Consider the following 13472-nt stretch of genomic DNA (forward strand, 5'->3'; position numbering starts at 1 on the left):
TTTCCCTGCCGTCTATTCCACTCCACTTACTCCACAGCAATTGAGAGGATAATCCTAACATTTTTCCAGCCAAATCTAGGACACTGAGGCCTCACTTCATCTGTGAGGCCTCCCTACTTCTCCAAGCAGAATTGATTATCTCTTTCCCTGTGCTCCCACAGGGCACCATAGCATTGAACATGTCGAACTGTCGATTAAATACCTGATTTCTGTATCTGAAACTCACAGCAAGGTGCCAGGCATACAGTAGATGCTCAGTATCTGTATTTCTTAATGAATTAACTGAATGTTGCTCAAGGAATAAGTGGTGAAGCTTTCTTCTAGTCTTGTTCAGATACCTCAATCGAAATATTTATTGACTCTCTGTGAGGGCATTGTGCTTGGCATGGGTAGATGGCATGTAGAGGTTTTCAAACATTTTAGTGACACTCCTTCATTCAGACGAACTCTTAGAAGCCTGTTGGATAAAGCTATCCAGAGCACAAAGGGCCCTAGAAACCTGAGCAGCCCCTAACTCCTACTTTTCTGCCCCTTTGGCCCCACTCGTTAATATCTCAGCATCGCGAACCAGGCCTCGGATTTGCTGCGCAGCCTCAGCTGGCCGGGTGCCGCCCCGCCCCCAGCGCCTAAGCCCCGCCCCTAGGTCTCCGCCCCTCGGATCCCACGGGGTCCCTTGCGGCCCTCCCACTCCTCGCACCGTTGGATCGCTTTGCTCACGGCGCTATCTCTCGATAAAGTTGTTGTTGCGGCTTCCGCCGCGGGTGGAAGAAGATGGCGTCGGGTGGTGGTGGCTGTAGCGCTTCGGAGAGACTGCCTCCGCCCTTCCCCGGCCTGGAGCCGGAGTCCGAGGGGGCGGCCGGGGGATCAGAACCCGAGGCTGGGGACAGCGACACCGAGGGGGAGGACATTTTCACCGGCGCCGCGGTGGTCGTGAGTTTGCACCCCTCGGGGTAGCAGGCGGGAGGGCACCCCGAAAGGGAAGAGAGGCTAAGCGAGAATCGGGGAGGTTGGGCAGAGTGGGCCCGGTGAGACCTTGCCTCGGTGTCAGCAGTCCGGGCCCCGGGGACCCTGGATGTGCTCGAAGCGGTAGAGCTTGGCTTCCCGGCCCCCAGGCGGGAAGAGTAAAGAATGAGGGTTGTGGTGCCTTCGTCGGCTAGCTCCCTAACAGCCGAGAACCGCCGACGCCGTCCTTTGACCCTGCAGTGTGGTGACACTCCACGGATCCACGGGGTTATTTTGCAGGTCGTGTCCTGCCAAGGCAGATTCAGTAGGACGGAATAAGCGAATGGGATGCAGACCTTTCCCCCGTCTTACTGCTTCTAAGATGAATAGCGTTATGTGGACTAGCCTGGGGTGGTGACCCGCCCACCAGTTCTTTCTTTAGCCCAGCATTTACCGATAATAACCAAAGGCCCTTTCTGGATCTTAGTTTACAAAAGTTATGTTGATTCTTCTGATCTCTAGGAAAATCAGGCCAGAGGCTGGTGGACAGAAGGCACTGCCAGATAAATCACTACATAGATCAGAAAGCTTTCTCCTTTTTAAAGGGATGTGTTCAAGTGCCCACGTACCTCACTGGGAGCAAATCTGAAATGTGATGAGGAAATGGTGTTTCCCGTAATGTTACCGGTAGGAGGCCCTTGAGTGTAGGTTGTCGAGGTTCTTGGCATTTTGAACAAATAATTGGACAAAACGCACAAAATAACAAAGGAATGAAACACAAACGAAGCAGCGAAAGCAGGAATTTATTAAAGCGAGAAAGCACCCCACAGGGTGTGAGTGGGCCGGAGCAAGGGGCTCAAGAGCCCACTTACAAAGTTTTCTGGATTTTAAGTGCTCCTTTTATGGTTCCTATGGGTTACCCCTTATCTGGATGAAGGATTTGGTCTGTGGCTAAAGGCCGAGGTGAATTGGCGTCCTGTGCAGATGAACGGATGGTCCCTGCTTGGCCTGCGGCCAGTCTAAGGCACTCTCCCTTTCCATGTGAGACGTGGTGGATGGGGAGGGTTGCAGGGATAGTAGCCTTTGATCCTTTGCCACTCGGGCGTGGGCAGATGGGTTTTTTCCTTTTGGTTTAGCTTTAGGAAGTTGGCCTTAATTGGCCTTAGGTTCCCTGCCCCCAAACCCAGGGGGTTCCTTTTGGGAATTCAGCTTTGGGAAGTCAGCACGAATTGGCCTTAGATTCCTTGCCCCCAGACCTTGGTGTTTTCTCTTTTAGAAAGTTAACGTAAGTTGACCTCAGATTCCCTGCCCCCAAACCTTGGTGTTTTTCCTTGATTCAGCATGAATTGCCCTTAAGTTCCCTGCCTCCAGACCCTATTCTCCTGCCTCAGTAATAAATATCCGGGTCTCTAATAAGAGTTAGGTATTAGAAAAAAATAATCTTTGTAATGTGGAAATCAGTAATCAGTTATGGAACCAGTAGAGATGTTTTGGGCTATTTTATGAGAATATTTACTCATACCACTTGGTATAGGTTGTTCCAGGCTGTAAAATTCAATGCTGGGTCTGTGAATTTATCTGTTTGGCATAATGCTTCTCTTCACAGTAGCTACTCAGTGTGTAACCAACTAAATAAAACAGCTATAAATTCTTTATGCAACATGTGGTCTGAAAAAGTTTGAGGCTTTCCTCATTTGTGTCAGATTTTCCCTGTCCTGTATTCAGAAATTGAGTCCATAATCTCAGCTCATAAGGTGCTTGATAATTCTAATATAACAACTAAAACTGTCAAATGAAGTCTCTTATTCTGAGAAATAATAAGTCTTTGTGACTGTCATAAAACAGGAAACAATTTTTGTTTGTTTTTAGAGACATAGTCTCCCTGTGTTGCCCAGGCTTGTCTTGAACTTCTGGGCTCAATGGATCCTCCCTTCCTCCTAAGTAGCTGGGATTGCAGGTGCATGCCTGAGAAATAATAATTCTTGCCGCTAATTTAGTCCTTCTGTATGTTATTTTAAGTAAGTATTTAGTCTGTTCCTTTAGTAATTCTTCTATAAGTCATGGAAGACAGCTACTGTTGGTAACTGCTGGAATGATGTGCAGACTGAGAATATGAAAACAGAAACTCTGACACTGAAAGTGATTGGTCACATAGGCAAATGTTGATTTATTTTCCAAAAAGGAACCTGGAAGAGTGAGGAGTTATTTTCTAGAGTTAACCTGAAGCAGTGGCCGAGTGCCATGCACACGTGTAATCTCAGCACTTTGGGAGGCCAAGGCAAGAGGATCACTTGAGGCCAGGAATCGAGACCAGGCTGGCCAACATGGCAAAACCCCATCTCTACTAAAAATACAAAAATTATCTGGGCATGGTGGCACGTGCCTGTAATCCCAGCTAGGGAGGCTGAGGCACAAGAATCACTTGAACCCGGGAGGCAGAGGTTGCAGTGAGCCGAGATTGTGCCACTGTGCTCCAGCCTAGGTGACACAGCAAGACTCTCTCTCAAAAAAAAAAAAAAAAAAAGTAGAAATTTAAAAAAGAAATGTAGGAGGCTTCAGTTTGATTCATCTTACCATACTTTATGGAGTTATCAATACCTCTTTTTTGTAAGACTGTAAAAATCCTTTGCCTAATTTCCAGCTAAAAGAGAGTTGAGGAGGTCAGAATGACCTTGTTCTACTGCAGAAAGCATAATTATTTTTATTTAGATATGATCTAGGAAAATTGAGTTGCTAAGGAAACTAAAATGCCACCTATAAGCCATTTTTCAAGCTGCCCATCCTGATGTTAATCTTCAGGATGCCAAGACCCCAAGAGAGCTCGCTAGTTTAACTGTCTTGTTAAACAGCCATAAAGAACAAATTATAATCCAATACATGCTTTAGTTGTGAGCCAAAGAAGATAGAGGATTGCAGCACTTGTGGTATTTTAAAGAACAACATTGAAGAATTAAGTAATTAAGAGTGTGGGCTTTGAAGTCTGATTTAAATCTAGGCTCTATGGCTGGCTAGCTTATCCCTGAACATGGTACTTAATTACTCTCTACAGTTTCCTCACGTGTAAAAAGTGAATAATACTAGTATTTACCTCCACCACTATTGTGAAGATTAAATTAAAATGCCTGTAAAGTGCTTAGAAGATGTTCCCTCCATAATAAACATTTAAAGAGTGCTTACTTTTTGAGGGCATGAGCTGTATTTGTTGGTGAGCATTTTGTAAACTGGAATTACTCTAAAAAAACCCACAAAATCTAATAATGGATTAGAAAAGTTAACATTAAAAATGGGTAATACAGTTGATCAAAGTCAAAACTATTATTAGCCTGGCATGGTGGCATAAGCCTGTAGTCCCGCATACTTGTGAAGCTGAGGTGGGAGGATCACTTGAGCCCAGGAGCTTGAGGCTTTAGTGAGCCAGGATTGCACCACTGTACTCTAGCCTGGGCGAAAAAGTGAAACCCCATCTCAAAACAACAACAAAACTAGTGATATTTATTTGATTAGCTAAAAGCATCAAATAGACACTTAATGACTTCATTTTTTTGAGACATAGTCTCACTCTTTTTGTTCAAGCTGGAGTGCAGTGGCACAATCTCAGCTCACTGCAGCCCCTGCCTCCTGGGTTCAAGCGATTCTCCTGCCTCAACCTCCTGAGTAGCTGGGATTACAGGCACGTACTAGCGTGCCTGGCCAATTTTTGTATTTTTAGTAGAGATGGGGTTTTACCATGTTGGCCAGGCTGGTCAGGAACTCCTGACCTCAAGGGATCTGCCTGCCTTGGTATCCCAAAGTGCTGGGATTACAGGCATGAGCCACCATGCCCGACCGACCTCAATAGCATTTTGCTAATTTAAGTTAATCTTCATCTTTTATTTTGTTTCATGTTGGAGACAGAGAGGAGCATTGAAGAATTTTGAAGTTGAGGCATGTAAAGTTAAAACTAATTTATGGTATGCCCGTAATTTCCTGGGCATTGATACAACTGCTGCTGTTAATCATCCCATCTGCTCTCTTTTACAGCCCAAGAGGCTTTGTTAGTTCAGTAATTAAAATGTGGTTTAATTTATACTTGAAAGAGCAGGCTTACACATGCATCTCAGAATCTGTAAACCAGTTACTTAAATGGGAGAGAATTGGCCAGGCGCAGTGGCTCATGCTTGTAATCCCAGCATTTTGACAGGCCGAGGCGGGCGTATCACAAGGGCAGGAGTTCTAGACCAGCCTGGCCAACATGGTGAAACCCTGTTTCTACTAAAAACACAAAAATTAGCCGGGCGTGGTGGCACACACCTGTAATCCCAGCTGCTGTGGAGGCTGAGGCAAGAGAATCACTTGGCTTGAACCTGGGAGTTGGAGGTTGCAGTGAGCCGAGATCGTGCCAGGGCCCACCAGCCTGGGTAACAGAGCAAAACTCCATCTCAAAAAAAAAAAAAAAAAAAAAAGAGACTCAAAAAAATTACTGAAATAAATTTGAAGTCATTGCTTTAAAACTACAAATAGTTTAGAGAGTTATGTAAGTTATGTATTAACATTTAGGCAGGAAAGGACATGGTCTTTTCAGAAACTACTCCTAAATCTGTGATCACTATAACATCTTGCGAGAGAAGGCAAAAGCTTTTTATTTGTTTGTTGATAAATAAATACAAGGTTTCTGTCTGTCTCCCAGGCTAGAGGGCAGTGGCACCATCATGGCTCACTGCAGCCTCTACCTCTTGAGCTAAGTGATCCTCTCACCTCAGCCTCCTGCGTAGCATGTGCCACCATGCCCAGCTAATTTTTCATTTATTTATTTTTTTGTAGAGATGGGGGTCTCCCTGTGTTGCCCAGACTGGTCTCTTAACTACTGGGCTCAAGTGATCCTCCCACCTTGGCCTCCCAAAGTGCTAGAATTATATGCGTGAGTCACCACGCTTGGCCCAAAAACAATCTTTTTGAAAAAACTGGGGTAAAATTCACATGACAAAATTTGCCATCTTAATCATTTTTAAGTGTATAGTTTAGTAGCACTAAGTATATTCACATTGTTGTGTAACAGAGATCCAAAACTTCCTCATTTTGCAAATCTGAAACTCTGTACTTATTAAACAGCTTCCACAGTCCCTGGTAATCAATCACCATTCTAACTTTGTTTCTGTCAATTTGTCTATTTTTGATACCTCATATAAGTTGGAGTCAAATAGTATTTGTTTTGTGACTGGCTTATTTTACTTAGCACAGTGTCCTCAAGGTTCATCCATGTTATAACATGTGACAAGATTTTCTTCTTTTTTAAGGCTGAATAATATTGCATTGAATGTATATAGCACATTTTATTTATCTGCCAGTGGACATTTGGGTTTGCTTTCTCCTCTTGGCAATTGTAAATAGTGCTGATGTCAACATGAGTGTGCAAACATCTCCTCAAAATCCTGCTTTTAATTCTTTTGGATATATATCCAGAAGTAGGATTCCTGGATCTTGTGGTAGTTCTATTTTCAATTGTTTGAAGAACCTCCATACTGCTTTCCATGGTAGTTGCACCATTTTATGGTCTCACCTCAGCTTTTTAAAACCTGTTTAATTTTGAATCCTAACCAACCTCTGGTAACAGATACCAAATTACAGCTAGATAGGAGGACTGAGCTCTCTTATTCTGCAGCCCTGTAGAGTGAATGTGGTTAACTGTATTTATTGTATATTTTCAAAAAGCTTTCTGAAAGAGAGGATTTTGAATGTTTACAGCACAAAGAAATGATAAATGTTTGAGATGCTGGATATACTAATTATCCTGATTTGATCATTGCACATTGTATGCATATATTGAAATATCACTCAGAATCCCATAAACATGTACAATTGTCAACTAAACATAAAAAGAAAAAAAATTAAAGAATAATGCTTGTTAAAGATTTTTTGTAGATACCAAGTTTTTTAAAAAGTTTCCTTCTATTGCTGTTTTGATAAAAATTTTAAAATATCTATTGAATTTTATTATTTTTTGACATCCCTTGGTCATGGGGTTTCTGTCTTAAATCTGTTATATGGTGAGCTGCTTTACTGGAGTGGACTCAACGTGGTTATTGTATATTGTCTTTTTTGTATTTTTTATTGATATAGTTGTACATATTTTTAGGATACACATGGTATTTTGATATCTGTATACAAAGTGTGATGACCAAATCAAGGAATTTGGGATATTCATCACCTCAAACATTTATCTTTTTGTTGAGAACATTAGAATTCTTCTAGCTCTTTTGGAACATACGATAAATTATTGCTAACTGTAATCTTCCTGCTGTCAAATACTAGAACTTATTCCTTCTAATTGTATTTTTGTACCCATTAACCAACTTCTCCTCATCCTGCCCTGCCTTCCCTTCTCAGCTTCTGGGAATCACCATTGTACCCTCTACCTCCATGAGATCCATGTTTTTGACTCCCACAGATGAGTGAGAACACTTGACATTTGTCTTTCTGTGCCTGACTTCTTTCACTTAACGTAATGACCTCCAGTTCCATCCATGTTGCTCTAAATAACAGGAGTTCATTCTTTTTTATGCCTGAATAATAGTCCATTTTGTATATATACCACGCCTTCTTTTTTTTTTTTTTTTTTTTTTTTTGACACAGGGTCTTGCTCTGTCTCCCAGGCTGGAGTGCAGTGGTGCAATCATGGCCCACTTCCCTTGACCTCCTGTGCTCTGGTGATCCTCCCATCATAGCCTCCCAAGTAGCTGGGGCTACAGGTGCATGCCACCATGCCCAGCTAATTTTTGTATTTTTAGTAGAGACGGGGTTTTGCCACGTTGCCTAGGCTGGTCTCAAACTCCTGGGCTCAAGTGATGTGCCCTCCTTGGCCTCCCGAAGTGTTGGGATTACAGGTGTGAGCCACCATGCCTGGCCTATACCACATATTCTTTATCCATTCATCCATTCATGGACACTTAGGTTGATTCCATATCTTGACTGTTGTGAATAGTGTGCTGGAATAAACATGGGCATGCAGAAGAAATATATATGCTTTGATATATTTGCTTTCTTTTGGATACATACCTAGTAGTGGGGTTGCTGGATGCTATGGTAGTTACATTTTTAGTTCTTTTAGTAATCTCCATACTGTTTTCCATAATGGCTGTGCTACTTCACATTCCCACCCACAGTGTATGAGTGTTCCCCTTTCTCCATATCCTTGCCAGCATTTGTTGTTTTTTGTATTTTTAATAATGTCTTTTTTTATACATTGCTGGGTTTGGATTGCTATTATATATTCTTTTACATCTACGTTCATAAGATAAACCTGTAGTTTCTTTCTCATGAAAATTGTATGGTTTGGGGAATTAAGATTATATGGTAATTTCTTCTATTCTTTCGAGAATGTTTATACTATTGGAATGATCTGTTTCTTAAAAATTGGTGGTACCTATAAAACTGTTCAGGCTTGGTATTTTTGTTTATGCTTTATGGAAAGATTGTTAACTATAAACAGTTTATTTCTCTGAGTGGTTATAGAGTTTGGTAGTTTTATTAAAAAGCCATAAGAAAAATGATGGTTAATCTGGCTAATACTTTAATTCTCTGTTCTGTGAAACATGCATGGTGGTTGTTCCCAAAGATATAACACATCCTCATTAAGTTTCTTGATATTAGCCCTTCTCTGATCTTAATCAGACTTCTGAAAGTGAATCTTTATAACAGTATCTTTAAACAAAGGTGTATCACTTAGTTTGTTTAGTTACTAGTTTAGTCATTTATAGCTAATATTGGTAAAAATTCTAGTGTGTAGTGTTTTCTACAGGGATATTGCCTCAAACACTTGTTTTTGGAGTTAACATACATCAAGTGGTCACATCTGGTCAAATGATCAGAAGTTGAAATTCTACCTTGTGGTAAATATATTCTTGAAAAAAGTGATAGGTATATGCAAAGACTCATTTTAGTGCTCAGCTCAAATAGTAAAGTTTTACTTCGCATAAGTTTAGATTTCCCTGAAATACATAAACTCATTAATTTCTTGATCATTGTATTGTACTAGCAATTAACTTAGCTTTCAGAATTATGGAGGAAAAGCTAATAAAAGTAATTATAGAACACCAGTTTTGGAGTAAAGGGTTTTTTTTTTTTTTTTTTGGGACGGAGTCTCGCTGTGTCGCCCCAGCTGGAGTGCAGTGGCGCGATTTTGGCTCACTGCAAGCTCTGCCTCCCGGGTTCATGCCATTCTCCTGCCTCAGCCTCCCGAGTAGCTGGGACTACAGGCGCCCGCCACCACGCCCGGCTAATTTTTTTGTATTTCTAGTAGAGACAGGGTTTCACCGTGTTAGCCAGGATGGTCTCAATCTCCTGACCTTGTGATCCACCCTCCCCAGCCTCCCAAAGTGCTGGGATTACAGGCGTGAGCCACTGCGCCCGGCCCAGGGAGAAGACTTTTAAAGATGGCTAATAGGCCGGGCACTGTGGCTCATGTCTGTGATCCCAGCACTTTGGGAGGCCAAGGCAGGTAGATCACCTGAGGTTGGGAGTTCAAGACCAGCCTGGCCAACATAGTGAAACCCCATCTCTACTAAAAATACAAAATTTAGCTGGGTGTGACAACGCATGTCTGTAATCCCAGCTACTTGGGACGCTGAGACAGGAGAATCACTTGAACCCGGGAGGCAGAGGTTGCAGTGAGCTGAGATTGCGCCACTGCACTCCAGCCTGGGCGACAGAGCAAGACTTGATCTTAAAAAAAAAAAAAAAAAAAGATGGCTAATAATAACCTGACTTAAAATTTATTTAAAAGTAGGGTTTGGGGCCGGGCACGGTGGCTCACGCCTGTAATCCCAGCACTTTGGGAGGCTGAGGTGGGTGGATCACCTGAGGTCAGGAGTTCGAGACCAGCCTGGCTAACATGGCGAACCCCTGTCTCTACTAAAAATACAAAAATTAGCCAGGCGTGGTGGTGCGTGCCTGTAATCCCAGCTACTCAGGAGGCTGAGGCATGAGAATCGCTTGAACCCGCGAAGTGGAGGTTGCACCACTGCACTCCAGCCTGGGGGATACAGCGAGACTCTGTCTCAAAAAAAAAAAAAAATTAGGGGCTTATGAGAGAAACAATAAAGGTTGCCGTCAGACTTCTGGTTTCTGTAAGGGTTGCCAACCCATTGTTTACTTAGGTGGTAAGGCCACTCTGACAACTTGGCCATTTGTAGTTCATTAGTTTGGACTGGAGAAAAGAAAAAAAAATCTGATATCTCTTCCTTGGTCCTCAAGCTTCTCAGCACTCAAGTAACTTTTGACATAAATAAATCATGAGTAGTTGATAGTTACTAGAGCAAGTAGCCGTAAGTATCTCATCTCCAGGAAAAGCTGTTGCTCAACTTTTTCTGGCTTATTCTTTTGCTTCGTCACGTGGACAGCTGGAGCTTCATTCTGCTTTCAGAGCAGATTTGAACTGGGTTTGCTTTTTCAATTTAGAAGGTAATCCACCCATTAATACTGTGATTCTTCTGCGGTTTTCTGGGCCCTTTCTAAGTTTTGTTAGGTTGAGACCCAAAAAGTTTAGTTGGGAAATTAAACCAGAGAATTCAGTAGAATGTCTGAGGCTAAATCTGGGGTCTCATGAGGTCTCTAATGGCCTTGCACATGATTTTCCTTAACTAGCTCAGTGGTCAGCTTCATGCTATTTTCCCCATCCTTCCAGCTCTCCCTTTTCCATTTTCATTAGTCCCTCTACTCTGTATCTCAGAAGTTCTTTACCTTTTTTGTGCTGTGGGCCAATTGGCAGGCCCTGTAAAGCCTGTGGACACATCCCCAGAATAATGTTTTTAAATGTATGAAATAAAATACATTAAAATATGAAGGAAACCAATTATATTGAAATTCAGTTTTAATAAATTAAAATGATTTTACATTAATAACATACTTAAATAGAGATGAGCATAAATGAGACTTTGAGATCTATAAAAACCATAATCTCATATAAAAATATCTAATATCAGTTACAATCTCAGGTACTTCTATTATGGTTTGTTGCTTATCTTTATGATTAATGTATATGCCAAATTTCAGTTCAAGGTTAATGAAAATGAAATTATAATAATTTTATTCCCATCCAAGTTCATAGATTACCCCCTGAAGTATGTGGCTAATGGACCCCAAGATAAGAACCCCTAGTTTAACTCCTTAAGCTATGGAGTTAAACTCTAGTTTGTAGAGTTAGGTACACCCTATTCTGAAATCCAGTGGACATTGAATGTCCATTCTCCCAAGCACAAATACTTTTAGTGCATCTGTGCCAGTTTTGAAACGTGGTGGGAGAGGAGTCACTGTCTGCTGTAGGCTGAATAATGCCCCCCTTCCTTTTCCCAAAGAAGTCCACATCTTAATCCTGCAACCAGTGAGTATGTTAGGTTATGTGGCAAGGGGGAGTTAAGGTTGAAGATGGAATTAAGATTGCTAATCAGCTGACCTTAAGATATGGAAGTTATCCTGGATTATCTGGCTGGGACAGTGTAATCACAAGGATCCTTAAAAATGTAAGACAGGCTATGAAAGACGATATGGAAGAGACGCAAAGAGATGAAATGTTACTGGCTTTGAAGATGGAAGAAGTGGGCCGTGAGGCAAAGAACCCTAGAAGCCAGAAAGGGCAAGGAAACAGATTCTTTCCTAGAACCTCCAGAAAGGAACACAGCCCTACTGACACCTTGATTTTAGCCCAGCAAAACCCATTGGACTTTTTCAGAACTGTAAGATAATTTGCATTGTTTAAACTGTTAAATTTGTGATGATTTGTTGCAGCAGCAATAAAAACTAATAGGCTGTCCCACCTCACTCATTTCTCCCTAGAAGTAAAGGTGGCAAAACCAACAGTATTTCATGCTAAGTTCTTCCAGGGTAGTTTTTAAAGACTCCATGGAGGCCCATTTATGATCTGGGTATAGCTCCTGGGATAGATTTACTCCTAATTGTCCTTGTCCTGTTACATTAGTGTGATCACACAACTCCTTAGCTCTATCTTGCCTTACTATGAAATATACTAATTTTCCCTCAAAAAATGAGTTATCTCATCCTCCAAGAGCCATGTTACCTTACCATTTAATTTGGATTTGACCTCTAAATACAGTTAAGTTTTAACAGTACCTACGTTTTTGAGATCCTTTGACTGTAATGTAAGGGTTCTGTGTGGAGCAAAGAGCAGTTAAGCAACATGAGGAAGAATCACAACTGGACAACCTAAAGGTAAGTTGCCTAGAATCACAGCAGTGCTTAAAGTAGTGAATGGCTTCGTCAGCTCTGAGGGGCAGCAAGCCTGTTTCTGTCCTTCTCTGAGCTAAGAAAATTGTGCTAGTGGCCTGGAATGGCTTGAGGCTGGTAATTGTGGAGAAATACCTGCTCTTAACAAAAGTGCTCTCTCTTTCTGGCACACCTTTCTAGTACCTCTCTGCAAATTAGTATTGGTCTGTCTGTATGCTCTTTTAATTATAAACAGAAACAGTTGAACTCTTAAACAGGCTGATCAGTAGAACCACTGGCTAGAATTAACAGCCAAAGGGAGTAAGCAAGTGTTGGATATCCCAGCTAGGATTTTAGCTGCGAAAAGGAAAAAAAAAAAAGCAAGGGCGATTCTTTGGCATTATTTACTGTGTCACAAACAGTATTTTCATCACAGAGAATAGTTTCTTGCCTAGAAATTTAGCCCCTTTCACACAGGTGAATAGTTATGTGACTTACTGACTGCTAAGGAGTTTTTTAAAAATATGGGTTATTGGCCGGGCGCAGTGGCTCACGCCTGTAATCCCAGCACTTTGGGAAGCCGAGGTGGGTAGATCAGGAGGTCAGGAGATCAAGACCATCCTGGCTAACACAGTGAAACCCTGTCTCTACTAAAAATACAAAAAATTAGCCCGGCGTAGTGGTGGGCGCCTGTAGTCCCAGCTACTTGGGAGGCTGAGGCAGGAGAACGGCATGAACCTGGGAGGCGGAGCTTACAGTGAGCCAAGATTGCGCCACTGCACTCCAGCCTGGGCGACAGAGTGAGACTCTGTCTCAAAAAAAAAAAAAAGGTTATAAAGCAATGCTTATTTTTAGTATTGGTTTTGCCATTGAATGTAATCAGTACGTTCTTTATAAAGTACTGTGGGTACTTCCCCCACAGTAAATTCTTTATAAAATTTTAACTGTTGATTTAAAATTAGCTTTCTATACTTTAATAATACTAATAAAAATCAGCCTTAATCTTAGACATAGCATATGAAGTGTGTTATAATGTCCAGGTGGCTTTGTATTTTGATAACGTGCTATTATTATGGACTCAAATCTCGTGGAAGACTTGTTTTCTTTTAACTGCACCATGTGAATATACGATACCATGAACGTGAGTCCATTTCTTCTTTAAAAGTGGTTCTGCTCAGTTTTTTTAAAAATCTGATTTTAAATAAAACTTGATAATGTTATTATGCCTCAAAGGCCAACTGTGTACAAGGTACTCTTCAGCCTTAAAAAACTTAATTTTTCCAGTGCTGGAAATAAATTTGATAAGGACAAAAATAAAATATCAAAAGAGTTGGGCA

General features: G+C 41.6%; 1 protein-coding gene across 3 annotated transcripts in view, besides 3 other annotated features; it reads left to right on the forward strand.

The window, feature by feature from the left end:
• Positions 724–843: an enhancer, noted in NCBI's record as "active region_9555". NCBI's record gives its function as "activates an Ori minimal core promoter by ATAC-STARR-seq in GM12878 lymphoblastoid cells {active_cell/tissue: GM12878}" and the evidence as "EXISTENCE:reporter gene assay evidence [ECO:0000049][PMID:35858748]".
• SNX1 (sorting nexin 1) overlaps positions 740–13472 on the forward strand; it is a 48250-nt gene continuing 35517 nt past the window's right edge. For all 3 annotated transcript variants that reach the window (NM_003099.5, NM_001242933.2, NM_148955.4), the window contains exon 1: positions 740–930. In NM_003099.5, coding sequence (NP_003090.2) covers positions 772–930 — 159 coding nt within the window. In that variant the 5' untranslated portion in view covers positions 740–771. The remainder of the gene's footprint in view (positions 931–13472) is intronic.
• Positions 984–1063: an enhancer, noted in NCBI's record as "active region_9556". NCBI's record gives its function as "activates an Ori minimal core promoter by ATAC-STARR-seq in GM12878 lymphoblastoid cells {active_cell/tissue: GM12878}" and the evidence as "EXISTENCE:reporter gene assay evidence [ECO:0000049][PMID:35858748]".
• Positions 9948–10242: a silencer, noted in NCBI's record as "tiled region #7733; HepG2 Repressive non-DNase unmatched - State 19:H4K20". NCBI's record gives its function as "represses a minimal TATA promoter and a strong SV40 promoter by Sharpr-MPRA in HepG2 cells {active_cell/tissue: HepG2}" and the evidence as "EXISTENCE:reporter gene assay evidence [ECO:0000049][PMID:27701403]".

This window comes from Homo sapiens, chromosome 15, assembly GCF_000001405.40.
Source record: "Homo sapiens chromosome 15, GRCh38.p14 Primary Assembly".
Classification (NCBI taxonomy): Eukaryota; Metazoa; Chordata; class Mammalia; order Primates; family Hominidae; genus Homo; species Homo sapiens.